The sequence below is a fragment of the Homo sapiens genome, chromosome 7 (assembly GCF_000001405.40).
Source record: "Homo sapiens chromosome 7, GRCh38.p14 Primary Assembly".
In the NCBI taxonomy this organism is placed as follows: domain Eukaryota; kingdom Metazoa; phylum Chordata; class Mammalia; order Primates; family Hominidae; genus Homo; species Homo sapiens.
The window spans coordinates 94,058,558-94,077,914 of NC_000007.14; the positions used below are offsets into that span (position 1 = coordinate 94,058,558).

The 19,357-nt window shown below is 40.1% G+C and overlaps 1 long non-coding RNA gene across 1 annotated transcript in view, besides 1 other annotated feature; it reads left to right on the forward strand.

The window, feature by feature from the left end:
- LOC130890646 (uncharacterized) overlaps window positions 1-9,197 on the forward strand; it is a 44,949-nt gene extending 35,752 nt beyond the window's left edge. Inside the window, exons 2-4 of the long non-coding RNA NR_186703.1 lie at window positions 2,899-3,068; window positions 3,212-3,307; window positions 5,869-9,197. This is a non-coding gene — a long non-coding RNA (uncharacterized LOC130890646). The remainder of the gene's footprint in view (window positions 1-2,898; window positions 3,069-3,211; window positions 3,308-5,868) is intronic.
- Window positions 1,742-2,941: an enhancer, noted in NCBI's record as "MED14-independent group 3 enhancer chr7:93689611-93690810 (GRCh37/hg19 assembly coordinates)". NCBI's record gives its function as "activates an origin of replication core promoter dependent on BRD2, BRD4, P300/CBP and CDK7 cofactors, and independent of MED14, by STARR-seq in HCT116 cells {active_cell/tissue: HCT116}" and the evidence as "EXISTENCE:reporter gene assay evidence [ECO:0000049][PMID:35650434]".
- Window positions 9,198-19,357: the final 10,160 nt, after the last annotated feature.

Here is a 19,357-nt window from a genome sequence, read left to right on the forward strand (position 1 = left end):
ACTTCTGGCCTCTGGAAATGTAAGAAAATAAATCTGTGTTTGTTATGCCAAGTTGGATGTAATTTGTTACAGCAGCCACAGGAAACTGATGCAGCCTCCTATTAGGAGGTTCATGGGACACATGAAGGTCATGCAGTTGTTTGCACATGACAGAAGTTGCATTGACTTAAGAGTTTGCCACAATTTTATGATGGTTAAAATGAAACCATCAATAGAGAGTTTGCGTGTAATAATTGCTCAATAAATATTAGTTAACTAAGATATATATTAAACAATAAAACAGTGGTGAAAACAGAAGATTTAACAAGAAGGAAAAGGCTTAAAGAAGTAGGGCTGAAATAGAAAAGTCCCAAGGGAACAGAGAATGGAATCTCTTCAGGGAGACTAAGGAATGTATCTCAAGGTCCACTGAAGGTAGGAAGGAGAAAATGTCTTCTCTCAGCACTTGAGTCAAGCCCCCATCACCAGAAGGCAGGATAAGGTTTGGCATTCATTCATTCAACCTTGAAGGCCCACCATATCCCAAGCACGTGCTACTCCTGGATACACATGAACAAGCAATGGGCTGCCTCCATCCTCCAGTGCACAGTGAAGTAGAGTTGGTCCCAGCAAGTACACATGGAGGGCCAAGTCCTCTAAGGCGTCCTCACTAATTGAAAATTATTTCCATTTCTTTTAAAATAAGTGTATGTTAGATGTCAAACTCCTAACTTCAATGCTTTAAAGATATTTTTACATGGGAAGCTAATAAAAACCTAAAAACCAAAGGAGAAAATATTCAGGCTCATACTACTTAGTATTCACTTTACTGAATTTTTGTTTACATCACATCTGCACCAACTGTCTTCTGGAAGCAGTATAGCAGAATGCTCAAGAGCATGGAGTTTAGAGCAGAAATACCTGGATTTGAATCCTAGATTTGCCATAAATTGTATTTGTGACTTTGGGCAAAAATTACTAAATCTCTGTATGCCGCAGCTCTCTCATCTACAAAACGGAGATGATAATAGTATTTGCCCCATCAAGTTTTCATGAAAATTGGATGAGTTAATAATTGTTAAGCACTAACACTGTCAGCCCATAGTAAGGGCTATATAAGTGTGTGTTGAGTAAAAGTATTAAAAACTTCTTTAAGACCCGGGAGTTCTTAAGAAAGCACATTCATACTCTGTAAATTGAGTAACTTTTTCAGGTGACAACATTTTCCTGCATGGTATTTTCCTTGCTCACTTTCCAAGGGTCCCCATGACGAATTTCCACCTACCAGTCAACAAAAGCAGCCAGAGCTCCATCAGTGAAAGCCCAGTGAACCCATATGTTGCAAATGAGTGTCAGTAATGACAACAGCAGCAAGGGTTTCACAATCTGTGCGTGAGAAGAAAGTTCACAAATGCAATCGGAAATGAGGTACTCCTCCTTCCACTTCTAAATCACTTCAAACCCTTTCAGACTAAAATAAGTACTAGGGATGTGATCCACAGCTATCACCTCGGGGTGGAGAAGTGAAAAACTTACTAGCTTTGCCAGTTTGACTGTCAGAGAGAGCTGCATTCAAATTCTGACCCCAATCCTTGCTATCTACGTAACAGACAAGTTAATTAAACTTTCTTAATCTGACAGGGAAAACGTTGCCACTTTGGCTGGTTTTAAGTATATAATTTAGCAAATCATACTTATCTTTGACTAAGTTGCAGACTGTAGGTTGGGTATTTAGAAATTAGAGCACCTACGGATCAGATACGCCCATTTATATTTTTAGTGGGGAAAGACATGCAGTGGGATCCCAAGCCTGTCTTTTGTGAGCCTTTATTGACTAAGCTTTCTGCCTTTTCCTTTCTAAAACCTTTTAGAAATTAAGAACATCCAGGCACTTCCTTTGGCAAGTCTGACACATACACAAGGGAGAGGACATAAATAATTTCCATACTCTTCAATGAAAGTGAATGTGTAACATATAAAACAATGGGCCAGGTGCGGTGGCTCACGCCTGTAATCACAGCACTTTGGGAAGCCGAAATGGGTGGATCACGAGGTTAGGAGTTTGAGAGCAGCCTGGCCAGCATAGTGAAACCCCGTCTCTACTAAAAATACAAAAATTAGCCGGGCAGGATGGTGGGCGCCTGTAATCCCAGCAACTCAGGAGGCTGAGGCAGGAGAATTGCTTGAACCTGGGAGATGGAGGTTGCAGTGTGCTGGGACTGCGCCACTGCACTCCAGCCTGGGTGACAGAGCAAGACTCCATCTCGGGGGTAGCGGGGAGAGGGGAAAGAATGGTGGCTAGTCAAACAGTCCTTTCCAGTAACAAGGTCTCAGGCACCCATCTCAGAAGATTTATTACATGCTGCCCCCACCATTGACCCCAAAGGAGACTGACTCTGCAAACAGCTCAAATCATAGTCATCCTCTTCATTTCCTGTGTGTCCCTCCCACTCCTCTCACTAACACGTAATACCATAGCCACATCAGTCAGTGGTTAGGATGCTGGGTTAATTTTACTCCCAAGGAAAGTGACGCCTGAGAGAAAGAGCCATTTGTTTGTCTTTTTAATTTCAGCTTCTTCCTAAATAAGACAGCCTTTTAGAAAGACTTTCACAGTGTCAGGTTAGTTACCTAAATCTTAGGTAACTTTAGGTTAGTTACCTAAAGTCACTCTGTGACTTCATCCTGATATAAAGGAACAAGGAAGAGAGTCGGATTAGGCTAACTCACTATGGTACATCTTATTTTTTATTTAGTTTATATATTTTGTGTTTTTAGATTAATTTTGCGGGTAGAGTGGGGCATAACTCAACATATTTTTTTCCTCACAAGCTGGATTAATTATTTTAGTAACATGAGCTGTATTAAAGGGGTCATAGAAGTCAGGTTAGGGCAAGCACTGTTATTTATGTTTTACAGATGGGGTAACACATAGAAAAGGCACGGAGAAGTTAAGTGATTTGCCTGTGGTCACAAAGCCTGTTAGCAGCAAACCCAGAACAAGAACCTAAGATTTATGACCGCCAGTTCCAGCTGTTTTTCTTCGTCATGTATCCTCAGCAATCAACATAATCAAAATCTGTTTGGAGGTAACTGGGTACAACAAAATAAATTATTGTTCCTTTTGTTGGGTGAATTCAGTTTGACCTGGATATTAAATTTGCACAAGTCTCACTGTCTCATTTAGTTATGTCTGCTCTTTTATTTTTTAAACTATGCTTATGACTTTCAGACTACTGATTTGTATAAAGGAAGATAACACCGAACAACCAAACAGGAAGTAATCCAGCGAATCTGGAACAGCGGTGGAATTTAGAAGCAAGGCCAGGTAAGCACTTCAAATATGCGAAAAGAAAATGAGAGAGCTGAAGGGACACCAAGCAATTTGATTTGCTCTTGGTTTACTCTGGAGGAAAAGGAATCCTTCTGAATTCTGAATTCCCAGAGCCAAGCCACTATATTCTTCTATTTCTTCTGTGTGTCTTCCAGGGAAAGTGTGTCCTTGTCAGCACCACAATGACACTTTCCATCCTGTGACAGAAACTAAGTCTTGAAAGACAACATTGTTACACTGTTTGGGGAGATCACGCCTAGTGGTTGTTTTGTTTTGAAGTGAGTGGGGATGGTGAGGAGGGGTTTAGTGAAGGAGTAAATGTGAATGATAATGTCATAAATTCCCCTATGATTCTGATTATGAGAACTCTCCTCAGAGAATCTCAGTTCCGTAGGGAACTTTGTCCAGGATCTCCCAATTCTTTTGAGACCTCATCCAAAAATGGTGACTTGGATAAAGAGAACTCAGGAACTGCATGCCACTCTTCATCTAACTCTGCATGCAGCTATGTTCACATTCTGCTATCGCTGGCTGATGTTCAAAAACTCAGCCCAATGATAAGGGTTTTAAAAGTGTATTATTTTCACTATTGATATAGATCTTGTGGAATAATCATTTCATAATGAGCCAGATCTTAACTAGTAGCAGACTACTCTAGTGTCTGCTACTAATCAGACACACTCTAGTTTGTGGTTGGTGAAGCCAGAGAGTGATATCATTTCCTAAGAAACAGGCAAGGAGAGAGAAAGCAATTGAAGGGTGAAGAGCAGAGAACTATGAAGATGATTCAGGAAGAGGCACATGGAGACTAGAGGTAAAACAGAAGTTCTGGGCAGTGAACGAAGACATCTAATACAAGGAAAAGGGGGCCAGGGACTGCGGAGGAAGGAGTAGTTTAGATTTGATCTTATTTGCACCCACAGACCAGTTGCTAAGGGTCCAACTTTCTCAGGGATTAGATTTAACAGAGATAGAAAGTTAGTTTTCGAAGAGAAATCTTATTTATTAGCTAAAGTATGTCCAGTTTAATTATGTAATGAAGATGAGTATTTGTCACTCATTTATTTGAGTATATATTTTATAGATAACAATGTACCAGAGTGTAATAGAAAGTACCTTACAGTATAACTGTAGTGATTTGAATGGCTTGTCTGAGAAGGATGTGGAAAAAGGTCCCATATCTCTCAATATTAGTACCCAAGTCAGCCTAAAAAGAAACAAAACATTGTAAATATCTTGGTTCCTAGTAACAGAAGAGATTTTAAACACAGAGTCACCTAACTGAGTGGAATATTTTTAATTTAGTATCAGCACCCTTTCCTAAAGATGCTATAAATTAAGAACTCTCTGATTTTTTTTAAGCCATAAGTGTTAAAGAGTAATCTATTACAAATCAAGTTCAGTCCCACTCTTGATAACATTGTGTTTTTAGACTAATTTTGCAGGTAGAGTGGGGCATAACTCACCATAGTTTTTTCCTTACAAGCTGTATTAATTATTTTAAAAATAGCAAACATCATGAAAAATAGCCCAGCCAAATACTCATTTCTTTGCTTAATGTCTCATTGCTTGGCAATTTTCTTCACTGTCATTTTCAATGGAAAAATACCTGAAATTCATCTACTGAAATTCAACTGAACGGAGTGGTTTAAAAAGAATCAATAGACATGCTAATAATAAGGAAAGCATTCAAATGCAATATAGCATATGTTTCTAATTACCACTTCACAAGTCCCAGTTACAAATTAAGTCTCTTTTATTTCAATTAACAGTCTAATGGTGCTTCAGAGAGATAAAGAATGTTTTAAAAAGAAACCAAACCTCTGATGAAGAGCACCCAATTTTCTCTCCAAGGAAACATGATGAAGGTTTTAAGCTATGAGAAAAGTCTGGGATAGGTGATTTGGGAACTGTATTGTCCATCACAGCTAAGAGATGTAGATGATGTTTTTGGTTTTTGGTTTTTGTGCTCCCCTTCCTGGGACCTTCTCAGCCATTCTACTGCCCACTTCTCTTCTGATATCCTATCATGGGAGAGAAGTCACCCAGCTGGCCATGCATCTATACAACAAATATTTACTAAGCACTTGCTTTGTACCAGCATTTAAGTACTTGGTCATGAGGATTCAGTGGTATATAAGATCTAGTCCCTTCTCTCAGAAAGGTTGTTGTTTAGTGGGATAGACAGACATATAAGCTAATAGTTCTAGTGTAATGTGTCTATAACAATAACAGAATGAAAACATCTATAGTAAAGATTGATAAGTTAATTTACTCTAATGTGTTACGTCATTTTACCCAGAAGTTTTTAAATGAACAGAAGAATATATATACATATATTCTCTTTCTTTCTCTCTGTGTCATTTCTATGGGTGAAATTTCTGGTATTTGTGATTAGGATGATGAGATATCTGATACCCATAGAGGTGACCACAAACTCTGTCCATAAAGCTGAGCTTGTTATAAATTTTAATTTCAACTCAGGGCTGGATAAATTCATAGAATGTTAAGGGTTCAAGGAATTTCACAGTGTATCTTATTGATTCATTTTACAGATGAGGACCCTAAGACCTAGAGAAACTAAGTCATTTGCTCAAGAAGACAAAGGTAATCATCAGAAATCAACATGAGATTTCAGCTCTCCTGATCCTTAGTACAACATGTGAAAGAAGATATGTTGTCTTTACTCACAGTGGAGGCATTTTTCTAGCTGTGTTTGATTTGGCTTCCCTATAGATTCAGGACCCATAACTCTTGTTCTCACTCATCTGCTATGCTGCTGATAAGGACTTTCAGGTCAACAGCTGTAACTGCTAAATGAAGTTAATACTCTGGAAAAAAAAAAAAAAAAAAAACCAGAAGGAACAGAGACCAAAAGATTGAAAGCCATTTGGAAATTTCTTGAGTGGTGTCTGGCAGGTCTTTTATGAAGATTATCATAAACCAGGAAAAAAAAAAAAAACGCCTGCTGACTGTGTTATCTGTAGTGCCTATTGCCTATTTTGGCTGATTCATTGATGGTGTAACAGATAACAGAATGAAAGGAAATGGTTTGGTTTCTATAAAGGAAAAAGAATGGTTTGTATAAGGAAACCATTAGTTTCCTGAGATTGCTATACCAAATTATCAAAACTTGGTGTCTTAAAACAATAGAAATTTTTTCTCCCACAGTTCTGGAGGCCAGAAACTCAAAATCAGTATTTGGCGGCTGAAATCAAGGTGTTGGCAGCACCCTCTGGAGGCTCTCGGACAGAATCTGTCCCTTGTGTCTAACAGATTCTGCTGGCTGCTGGCATTCCTTGACTTGTGGTCGTATCATTCCCATCTCCTCCTCCATAGTCATAACGCTTTCTCCTCTTCTCTGGCATTTGCATCCCTTTTATAAGACACGTATGACTGCATTTAGGGCTCACCAGGATAATGCAGGATAATCTTCCTATTTCAGGATCCTTTGCCACATCTTCAAAGTCCTTTTTGGCCAATAAAGTAATATTCACAGGCTCCAGGTTTTAGGATGTGGGTAGTGGTGTTGGGGTGGGGGGCAGATTTGGGGGTGAACAACCAGCCTACTACTGGTGGGTGACTGGTTATCCATCATTCTTAAGTCAGAAATGATGACCCAAAATCTCTTTTTGCTTTTGCTTCACTCATTTTGCATTTAATTACTAGGCTCTGCTTCTTCAGACACTTTTATTACAGTTTAGTTTTTGCTACATCCCTCAAAAATGTCTTATTATTTTCACGGCCTGTCATTTAGTTATGTTTTCTTCTAAGTGTTTGGCTGTCTTGGTCAGTGCTCTAAAGGAATTAAAATCACTTGGTCAGGGCTCTGAAGTAATTGGTCAGTGCTCTGAAGTAATTAAAATCACTGTGAAGCTGAATGAAAAATCAGAAGAAGAATCAAGAGACCTATGTTTTGCTTGTTAGGAGAACTGTGTATCCTTTATGTCTATTTTTGGAGTTGGTGGTAATTTCTGGTCAAGGAATCAAATGTTCTTATTCCTAACCATATAGTCAGATAAGATGGCTAAGGTGCTTTCATAATCACCATTGATTCACTGTCAGATGGGCCCGTGCTCTGTGACAACTTTTCAATATTATAGACTTTACCAAATAAAAAGGTATCTCCTCATTCTGTGCACAGAAAAAGAAAATGATGGATGAGTATATTAGCCAGAACCCTGTCGCAGAAAAATAAGCATGAGTGTGCCCTTTCATGCCTCCTGAGAACTCCTGTGCTAGACAGAGCCTGTTCAAGATGTCTTTTCTGACTTTCTGATTCCAGTTGACATCTAGGCATATAAGGCAACTTTGTGATGGGGCCAGAGAGCACCACACATTGTTGTGTATGAAATACTCTATTCAGCAAACAAGCCGTGCAGCAACAAGACCTAGTGTGGTCAAGGATGGTGGACTAAAAACCACTATGAAAGCAGAGATGTAGCCACCTCTGAGACTGGTTTTCTAAGCAGGATGACTTGGTTCCATCCCTACAGGCATCGTCTGGTCCAGTTCAGCACAGAGCTAGCTGCAAGTGACAACCTAAGAGAAAAGTCAGCGAGAACAAAGATCCATCTCTTCGTTGACTGCCTTAATCCCTAGAGCTGTGTTCTTCAATTTGTTACTATTTGCTACAATTTTTCTGCCTAACAAGCAAGTTCTATCCTGCCTAGGAGAGAAACTTTTAGTAAATTCATCTTCATTCACTACTATTCAGCTCATGCTGTAAAAACTTAGATAATGCTGTCTGAAATACTTAACTCCTGGTCAAATGCAGCTGCTATTTCATTCAGTATAATCAAAGAATAGCCAAGGACTTTAGTTAATATTTCTTCAGATGATAGAGAATAAACAAATTGTTTTGGATATATCTACCATGCCCTCCAAACATGATTGTTGATATCTTTTCTATATAAATTACTTTCCTACATAAATGGTACTTAGCTTTTCCTTGAAAGATATGCTCTTCTCTCCAGCTCAAAGATAACCCTCTTTCCCTCAAATTATAAGTAATTTATATTTAATAATCTTTCATACGAATTTTTAAAATTACAAATGGTAAGGTACCACTATTTTTTATTTTGTAACAGCACAAACCATCAAATCAGAAAAAAAGAAAGGTTGAGTATGATCTCTGAAAAATGAATTCTAGTAGCATGTATAGCAAAAATCATCTTAGAATGAATAGAAGCCCTGAATAACTCAATGACCACCAGGCTTGTCTGCATCCACGTTCTACTTGGTTAACTGTTAAATAATATCTAACTTGTTGCATTGTAAAAACAACATGTGTCTGTAAACTGAAAAATAGATGTTATTATCCACCTGGTTTAGTCATAATGGAGAAATGTCCTTCAGTTGCATGATGCTCTTCCTATGAATGAGGAAACCAGATCAACATTTCCATTCAAGTTCTAGCTTGCCTATAACATTTCTTAGCTCCTTTTGCAAACCAAAAGTGGCAGCAGTTGTAACTGAATTAGTCTAACTGCTCAGACACATGCATTTCTGTTTGGTTGCTCTGGTCTCTTCTTGAAGGCCAAGTGCTGTGATCATTTATCATCATCAGAATTGGCTGCCATAACTCAGTGTTCCCGGGACCTGCAGTGGGCAGAGCACCAGCACAACCCGTAGAAAGCAGCTCCAAGATCAGCACCCTCTCATAAACCTACCGAGCCAGGAGCATCTTCCAGGCCCTCCACTCTCAGGAGTTTCAAGGAGAAAACAAAATGCTGAGGACTGGGAATGAGAAGCTTCAACCTTGCACAATCTCTACATTTTGCTTTACTCCCAAGAGGGACGAATGAAGAATGTTGTTATTGATGCTATGACCACTTCTCTCCCATATTGTGCCCAGTAAACATGGTCTTACTCATTATTGAAATACTAGCATTCTTCTATAATGGTTCGTACACAGCTGCTGCCCAGAGCACTGAATAACACATACTACCAGGTGTCAAACCCAGATTTCCCCAGTCTCTCCTTAATTTCCAGCAATAAAAAGATTAGCCTGGCACAGCAGGTCTTCAGACCCTTTCTGATTTTGAATAGTGATTTGAACACCTCTCCTAGCTGTGTCCCCTTTGGGTTTAAGAATAAGATAGAAGATATATTGCTTTCCATTTTAAAATGTTTAACTTCTATTCAAGAATAAATATTGATGAAGGGCATCTAGGTACTAGTGATTTTTCCTGATGTCCATTTTGTGAACTTCACAGAAGACTTTGATTTCACCTTAAACCAAAGAAAACGTTCACAGATATCTTATAAATCTACTATTTTTCATGATTATAATAACCTGTCATCATGACAAGCCATGTTCATTAACAAAAGAAATCATAGGGGCAGCTTCTATTGGGCACTTAACTCCTTCATCCATGAAATTATACTTTATGTGAATTTATTTTTGGAAAGTTCAGGTAGTTTAAATTTTAAATATATAGACTAGAAAGAAATTGGGACCTTAAAAACTATTTTACAGGAAAAATGTTTCTGCCTGTCCTCATATTTCCTTCTTTTTTTTTTTTAACAGTGTTAGATTTCTGCAGAACTAATACCCTTTAAATACTCTTGTCACACTTCAGAGGACACTATGCAAATTCTCAGAGGCCACACAATTTCCAGGTATATTGTGAGGCCTCTGATAAGATTTGTATACTGTTGACACCTACTTAATATATGGATAAATAAATCTCCAGTAAAATACAAAATAAATAGGATTTCTATCCACAAACAACAAGGTTGCAACCACAAAAGTGAAATCTGCACAGACAGAAAAAGAGCTCTGTCATGTTGAGTATTTCTTGACCTCGCAGTGAGTCATAGATTTTCTTTTTGTTCTAAGACTGGAAAAACACCAGGATAAGAAACATTTTGGAAAACTATAGAAAACAACTGGATCCAAGCTCAAGTCCTCAGAGATAACATCCTGTACTTAAAATCTTTAAGTTGTTATAGAGGGGAGTATGTGTATGTGTGTGTGTATGTGTGTGTGTGTGTGTGTGTGTGTGTGAGAGAGAGAGAGAGAGAGAGAGAGAGAGAGAGAGAGAAAGGAGGAGGAGGAGGAGATGGGAGTGGAAGGTAAACAGCAGCAGAAAGAAAACATGTGCACTCATGTTTTCTTCAGATGCTTCTTCAGATGAGTCCATCAGGAGGAGGAGGAGGAGATGGAGATGATGATGGGAGGGGAAGGTGAACAGCGGCAGAAAGAAAACATGTGCACACAATGATGCTTCTTCAGATGAGTCCATCTTCCTAAGTGTTGGTGGGAACACTGATCATAGATTTAAAAAAAAGTTTGTGTTTCTACTTGCATTTTCATCAGGAAGTTACAAAACATCTTGGAATATTTGCATTTCTTTCTATTTGACTGCTCAGGATGTGTCTTCGTGACATAAGTCATTTTCAGCCATGTTTACCGGATGTTCCTCTTCTCTCAGAGAACACCATTCTTTTGCTTTAGAGTTAACACGGTGTTTTCCCACCCCCTACTGCATATGCTCCCACCCCCTATTGCATACTGCTCATAGTAACCAGCAGATCTGTTTGGGGTGATGATGAAATCGCCAGGAGGCACAGGTGGCTTTTGGGCTCTGATCCTAATGGGACTGTGGAGCTCATCCTGGAGCTCAAGGCTAGAGCAAGACACCGCGGAAAAACTAACTTTCTGGGGTTTTGATAACCACAGCATCCTGGGTTGACTGGCCTATTACTATAGTAGGAGCCTGATGATTCAGACATATAACATCACTGTCCAAAGCCTCTCGAAGTGGGATAAGGCATCAAGTTTTTGCTTGAGAGCTAGAGCATGGCTATCATAGTAGAATTAAGGAATAGATACATTTATTACCTCAAAGTGCCATTCCAGAGGGACCCAGAAATGGTTATTGTAAAATTGAGTTATACCATAGACTGTTCCCAAATACTGTATGCGTCCAAGGCTTAGTTACCTCCATTATAAGCAGTGTGACTGCTCTCCTCACAGAGGACTATAAAAATTAAAGAATCATCAAGAATTTGCAAACACAAGCTCATGACAAACATCTAGCAGTTATGTTAGACATAAATGATCTTTTTCTGGTAGACAAATGGAAAAGAAGTATATTTTATTGGATTCTTATGACTACGAAGAGCCCAACCAGGTTGTGATTGTCTGGCTTCCATTTACCAAATCACAAATTCTCACAACTGGCAGTAGGTGCCTTAGAGAGCATCTGGTTCAAATATCTTACATGGTGGATGAGAAAATGGAGGTTCCAATATATTAACTTACTTGCCTGGGGTAATACAGCTTGTTTATGGCAGTGTCAGGACTAGATGCCCAGGTTTTATGATGCCATAACTAGTTTCTTTCCCAGAAGTCCAGATGAACCTAAAACCTAAAATTGGTATCTAGGAGAAGGATGGTAAAGATGTCACTCTGAGTCCTGATTGATTGGTAGGAAACCCTAGCTGACTGGCAGAAAATCCTGATGTATGTGTTAAGAAGGATTTTGGAGTCATACTCAGGCTTATCAGAAAAGGGTACTCAGGGTCAAATACAATTTCTATAAGGGGAAAAAGAAAAAAGGAAGAGAGGCCAGGTTTCACAGTTTCCTGATCTTAGAGCATCCAATTATTTTACAGGCATGTTCAGATGTGTTTGAACAATAAATGATTAGTAGTAGGAACTGATTTTGTAAGATTCATGAGACAGGACCAAAAAATAAATAAATTTACATATGGTGATCAAATATTGCTAAGTCAATAAGCTCCTTCTATTTGCATAGGCTGGGAACCAAGATTAGAAGACAGACACTTATTTCTCAGTAACCCATACTGTAGCAATGGGACAATCATTTAGCCATCCCTATGTGATCGTGGTCATTTTATAGGAGCATACTGCTTTAACTTTTTGAAGTGCTTTTGAAATGGGAAAGGTTCCCTTGTCCCCCTCACAGGGCGTGTGACAGGGGGAGTGGCTCGCTTCTTCAGTGCCCCACTGTTCAAACCTCTAGGAGAGCCATATAGATGCCAGCTTGTGGGGTTCCAACCCCAGGGCAGTGTCTAGGGGTGGATGTTTACAGCTCCTGAAGTCCCACTGAGCATGTGCTACTGTGTGCTCTTTTAGTTTTGCCATCTATAGGTGGCTTTTTGTTAACCAGCTCAATTAGACCCTCTACCTTTTCACAAAGACAGAGGGCTTTCTGTATCCCGGGCTCTTGCCTTGGTGTACCGGAAGAATCAAATCACACCTCAGCTTGGAGAATGAGTACAAGGTTTTATTGAGTGGAAGTATTTCTGAGCAGATGGGGGAAGCCAGAGGGGGATGGAGCGGGAAGGTTTTCCTCTGGAGTCAGGACACTGAGCGGCCTGGGTTCTCCTCCAACCATCCCAGCCAAACTCTGCCTCTTCTGCCAGGTCGATGGCCTGCAGACCTGCTGGTGCCTGTCAGTGCATTCCTCTCGGCATCCAGCCACCCGTGTGTTCCTCCCCTGTTGTGCTCTTCTCAAAGTTTGTCTGCCTGCTAGGGTCTCAGGATTTTTATAGGCACGGGATAGGGGCATGGCAGGCCACGGTGGTCTTGGGAGATGCAACATTTGGGCAGGAAAATAAAAATGCCGCACCTAGGTCCGTGGGCACAGGCCTGGGTTAGAGTCCTAGCCAGGGACCACACCGTTCTCTCCTTCTGTATCACTTTCAATGCTTTTTCTTATATGATATCTAGAGAGCAAAGAAATGCACTACCAACTGCTAAATTTCATGGCACCTACTGTAGGTTAAAAAAAAAAACAAACAGAAAACAAAACAAAAAACCAGCCCTTGAAGGAGAGAAATGGAGGAAGGGAATTTTGTTTAATTAGAAACTCTCCAGAAGTAAAGGCAATGAACACATAGTACTTCAAAAGATCTGTTAATGAATGTTTAATTCAGATATTCAGATGGAAACTTCTCTATCAATAAGAAGTGACTAAATGGAATAGATAAGTTTTCGTTCACATTTCATTTTTCAAGAAAACCTGCTTTGAGATTCTCTTCATACTTCATGGTTAGTTGCTCGGCAGTCCAAGCTATGGAGTGGTACAATGGCTTTAGAGTTGACAGCGGGCCTAAATGAGAAACCAAAGTTCAAATCAAGACGTCTAAGTATTATCTGAATCATTACAAAAGTCTGCAATTAATTCTCTGCACTGCTGATGTCTGTCTTTCATCTAGTGAACAGAGAAAAAGGAAATTCAATAGGATGTACTCTTTATGTCAATTGGATGAGAAAATTTCCCACTGCCTGAAAAGCATGCTGATACTAAAATATACCACAGAATACATTTCATTAAGAGTTATTATCACTGTGATCACAATGACCAAGAACTCCACAAAGAATTAACGTCATTTGGCCGATACCTCCTCAAATGGGTCCACTGGATTCATGTTTTTCAAGGTATTGTTCCCAAGCATCTCTAGCAGAATGACCTGAAGTGCTTTTCCTGCTGAAAATGACAAAATTAAATTCACTGAATCTGAACATCTGAAGGTGGTTTCCGGGAATTTAATATACTCCTAGGTGATTCATATGTTCACTGAAGTCTGAGAACAGTTATACTAATTTCTCTATGAATCAAACTGATATAGTTTGAGATACCAAAGATACAAGCAAGGATTCTTGTCTTTAATAATATGGTAAATCAGAAAAAAAAAGGCCCAGTTTTCTGTGTGTTTCAAGCATATGGATGTGAGGATGGGCATCAGCTAACAGAACTAGAGATGTCATTTTTTCTTTCCCAAGACCATCTCTTCAGGTGAGAAGAAGCTTGTCTTTATCCTGCAGCAAGTCATGATTAGCAAATCAAGGTCTCTTACAACACCAGAAATCACAACTTTCTCTCTTTTCTTTGAACTCCTGGCTTCTAAACTATTGATTGATTGATTGATTGATTGATTGAGAGAATCTTATTCTGTAGTGATAATAGCTCACTGCAGCCTCAAACTCCTGGACTCAAGCAATCCTCCTGCCTTAGCCTCTTGAATAGCTGGGACTACAGGTGCACATCATCATGCTTGGGTAATTTTTTAAAAAATTTTATGGGCCAGGTGGCATAGCTCATACCTGTAATTCCAGCACTTTGGGAGGCCAAGGTGGGCGGATCACTTGAGCCTAGATGAGTTTGAGACCAACACAGCAAAACCCTGTCTCTGCAAAAATTGAAGTAAAATTTTCAAAATTGCTTGAGCTTGGGAGGTTGAGGCTGCAGTAAGCCATGATCGTACTACTGTACTCCAGCCTGGGTGATAGAGCGAGACCCCCTCTCAAAAAAATAAAAATTTTTTTTACGGAGTCTTACTCTGTTACCCAGGCTGGTAAACTTTCCTGACACAATAGATATAGATAGATTAGATGATAGATAGATAGATAGATAGATAGATAGATAGATAGATAGATAGATACCACAGGAACACCAGCAATAATAAAACTTAGCAACCTAAAAGCTTCTCATTAGCTTTGTTTTATGGGGTTCATTTGAATTGCCCACAATGTTAAAAGGGAAGCAGTCACATCCTGAATACCCTGAATTGTAGAGTGGCTGCTTTCCTCAATTCTTTCTTCATTCTTCATTTTCATTGCTTTACTTTCACTTTTTATGAACTCCTATGCTCCTGAATACAATGGATCTCTCTAAAATCTCTTGGTCTCTTAGAAAATATCTCCTTCCCCTCTCATTAAAAAAAAAAATGAAAAGTCTTGATTTTGTCTTGCTGACAAAAAATAAGCAATCTCTGTTCTTGATTCCACCAGCTATGGGTACAGGGTTGGCTACTGTCAGACCCACTAAATGATAACATCAAGCAAGCCCAGGAGAAAGCAATTGTAAGTTAGAAGTGGTACCTACTGAATTAGGCATGAGCTGGGCCAGAGGACACGGCATGCTTGTATCTCACCAGGAGGTAGCCCAGATCCCCAAAGTTCACCAGTATTGCACCCACACTTTTTTCTCCTCAGCTTACATAGAGCTTTAGCCACATAAAGGATTCTTTTCTTTGCCTTTTCTTTTCTTTTCTTTATTTTTTTTTTTTTGAGACTGAGTCTCGGTGTGTCACCCAGGCTGGAGTGCAGTGGCACAATCTCTGCTCACTGTAACCTTCGCCTCCTGGGTTCAATTGAGTCTCCTGCCTCAGTCTCCCATGTAGCTGGGATTACAAGTGTGCACCACCACACCCGGCTAATTTTTGTATTTTTACTACAGATGGAGTTTCACTGTGTTGGCCAGGCTGATCTCGAACTCCTGACCTCAGGTGATCCTGAGTGCTGAGATTACAGGCGTAAGCCACCACACCCAGTCCACATAAAGGATTCTTTATGACCACAAAAAATAGGAGGATAAAGCTTCAGTTTGGTTCATAGATGGGTCAGCTCAATATCTCTGTGAAAGATGACAATAAACTGCTGTTACACTACAGCTTCACTCTTATGACACTTAAAATCATGGTGAAAGGAAATCCTACCTAGGGACAAAACTTTGAGTGGTACACCTGGTCATCCACTTTATGTAGAAAGAAAAATGACCCATGATAAGAATATGTGTGGACTGAAGAGCAGTGGCAAATGGCTTGCCTGATGGGTCAGGGCCCAGGAGAGAGATTAGAGGACTGTAGAGACAAGGCAGTCTGGAGAAGAGGCCAGTAGACAGACTTATGGGATTGGGCACCAAGTGTGAAGGTCTGTGTATTGAATGATAATGTCCGCTGCAGGGCATCCTACATGGAGGAAACACTAAAAACAAAGTAGACAGAGTACTCGGGCTGACAAAGCCGGGCTGACAAAGCCGGGCTGACAAAGCAAGGCTGCCACTGGCTACCCCAGGGCTGACACAAAGAGCACATGAACAGAGTAGTTATGGTGGCAGATACAGAGGCCATGCATATGTCCAACAGCATGAATGCATATTCACCAAGGCGTGTGTAGCTACTGCTGAATGCCCAACCTGCCAATAACAGAGACCAACACTGAATTCCCAATATAGTACCATGCTTTGAAGAGCTATTAGCTATTGATAGCAAATTGATTACACTGGACCCCTTTCATCTAGGAAAGAGAATTGGTTCATCTTACCTGAAATCGATTAATAATATCGATATAAGATTGTCTTTTCTGCTTGTATGGCCTCAGGCACTACTACCACCATATAAGATTCTGAATAACATGGCTTTGAACCAAGAAGCCCACTTTGTAGCAAGGAGGTGTACTTGTTAGGGTTCTCCAAAGAAACAGAATCAATAGGATGTGTGTGTGCACGTGTGTGTGTGTGTGTGTGTGATTTATTATAAGGAATTGGTTCATGCAATTATGATGACTGGCAAGTCCAAAATCTGCAGAGCCAGTGTCTAGCTTGAGTCCAAAGGCCAAAAGCTTCTGTAGAACCAGGAAGAGCCGATGTTCCAGTTTGAAGACTATCAGGCAGGGGAATTATCTCTTACTCAGGGGAGGGACATCCTTTTGTTCTCTTCATGCTTTCAACTGATTGGATAAGGCCCATCTACATCAGGGAGGGCAATATGTTTTACTCAGTCTACCAATTTAAATGTTAACCTCATCGAAAACACCTTCACAGAAACACCCAGAATAAAGTTTGACCAAACATCTAGGCACCCTGTGGCCCATTTAAGTTGACATATAAAATTAACAATCACAGAGGGTGTAGCAGTCATAGCAGTGGGCATGTGGTTATGCAAGTCACGTGCACACAGAAACTGCCAGTTGGATAGAGTAACAGATGGCCTTTTTAACAGCATAGACAAGGCACCAGCTTGAAACTGATACTCTGAGGTACACCTTAAATCAATGAAGTTTATATGGTGCTATGTTTCCAAGAGGTAAACTATGTGGGTGCAGAGACAAGTGGTAGAAGAGAGTGGCTCTGCTTCTATGTACCCACTTGAAGAAGTTATGCTTCCCATATCTGCAATTCTAGGCATTTTTGGTTTAAAGGTCCTGATTGCTATAGGAGTAATGTGTCCACCAGGGACAGTGGAATTTCTGATTCCTATTAACTTTGAGTTGTGGCTGCCATCTGGTCATTTCAGACTTTTATTTTTTTTCTTTTAAGGTAGAGTCTCGCTCTGTCACCAGGCTGGAGTGCAGTGGCAAGATCTTGGCTCACTGCAACCTCTGCCTCTCGGGTTCAAGCAATTCTCCTGCCTCAGCCTCCTGATTATTTGGGACTACAGGCACGTGCAACCACACCTGGCTAATTTTTGTATTTTTGGTAGACACAGGGTTTCACCGTGTTGGCTAGGATGGTCTTGGTCTCTTGACCTCGTAATCCACCTGCCTCAGCCTCCCAAAGTGCTGGGATTACAGGCGTGAGCCACCGTGTCAGGCCCTATTTCAGACTTCTTATACCAAAAGATTGGCAAGCTACAGAAGGAATTACTATCCTGGCAGAAGTAATTGACCCCGGTGATCAGGCAGAGGCAGGTCTTCCACTGGGACAGGAAGCCTTACATGGAGGCAGGGAAGAATACATTTGACCACCTGGCAATCCATTGGGACATCTCTTGGTACTACCCTGTCCAAATTGGCAGTAAATTGATAAGTGCAACAGCCATCATCTGAAAAGGCACAGTGGCCAGGGGATCAGACGCTTTATGGATAAGTGTCTGAGTTGCCTCAATATTTAAGCCATCTAAACCAGAAAAGGTGGTAACTAAGGGTGAGTTGGTGGAGGCGAGAAGTGACGAATGTCACCTGAGCTCCTTAGGCTAAGTACAGAAACAGGGCTAGAGCTTATCTTAGTGATACTCTTATTTTAAATTTTCCCAGGGAAAGGGACTAACTAGAATCCTGAAGGAGCTGTCTTTGATGGGGTAAATGTTTTTTATATGAGTAAGTGGATTTGAGCAGCCCAAGGGGTGGACTATAGTGGATGCTGTGGTTTGAAGGCCATATTCTCCCTTTAAGAATGGGACACCTATTTGCCTATGTCAGGACTGTAGCCTACTTTCAGCTCATAGCTGAATTGCTTTCCAGAAATTTCCCTTGCCCAAGAGTTCTGTCTCATTCAAATATATGTTCCCCTCTCCCCAAGAACAGTCCTCCTCCAATGACTGCTCACCTGAGGGGAAAGGAAGTACAAAGGCCTGGGGCCCTTACCTTAATTCAGGACAAATCTGAAAGGCAATCACAGCTTCATAGCTGAGACCATAGTTGTGACTATATCACAGTTTAGTTTCTTCCTCTGCTTAATTTTGCTTCCTTCCAGTAAACTTTCTGTTCACAAATAACTGTCCCAGAATCTGTTTCCAAGGAACTTAACCTAAGACGATAGGACATATTAGTGACCATCCAAAGAGGCCTTAATTTACTTTCACATGAAGTCATTTAAAAGCACACACACACACAAAAATCCGCTTCCATTATGGCACAACTTATTATGGTACATCTTTTCAGATATATGTGGGGCCTCCCTGGCAGCATGAGCTGATGAAATAAATGAAACAGCTCTGTCAGTACCTGTAATTCACAGAGTTCTTGGTGCAAATGTCATTTAAAATAACCAGCCTCTAAGTGGATTCCACCTGATTCAGATATTTAAGTTTTCTCTCTAGGCCATTCTGAACTAAGAATTATCTTAGGTTCATCCAAAAGATGGATTTGGGAACTGTTGCTGGGTTCATTTTATGGGTCCAAAGTAGAGCAAGTTCTGTTGTCAGAGCATTTAGAAATATGGATATGTTTGCTTCTTTTCTACCTCATTACCAAAATATATAGGATTATTTGTAGCTTCAAAAAGTGAGATAGATAAATCCCGCTGTGTTCAAAGTTTAACAGGTATCTCAAACTGTTTTTCAAATTGACTTGAAATATAAAGTCACAAAGCCTCAAGGCAAATGTAAGCTGAATCTTGCTGACTCTTTTTAAAATGTCCAAATACTGCTATTTTTTAAAATGTCTGGAACAACTGGTGATATTTCAAGAGGAAAAAAATTGGAAATTTTTTTTCTTTAGGCAGAAGTGAATTATTTCAAGCTCCAAGTGGTTCCAAATTCCATGGAGCTCCAGAGACTGGGTTT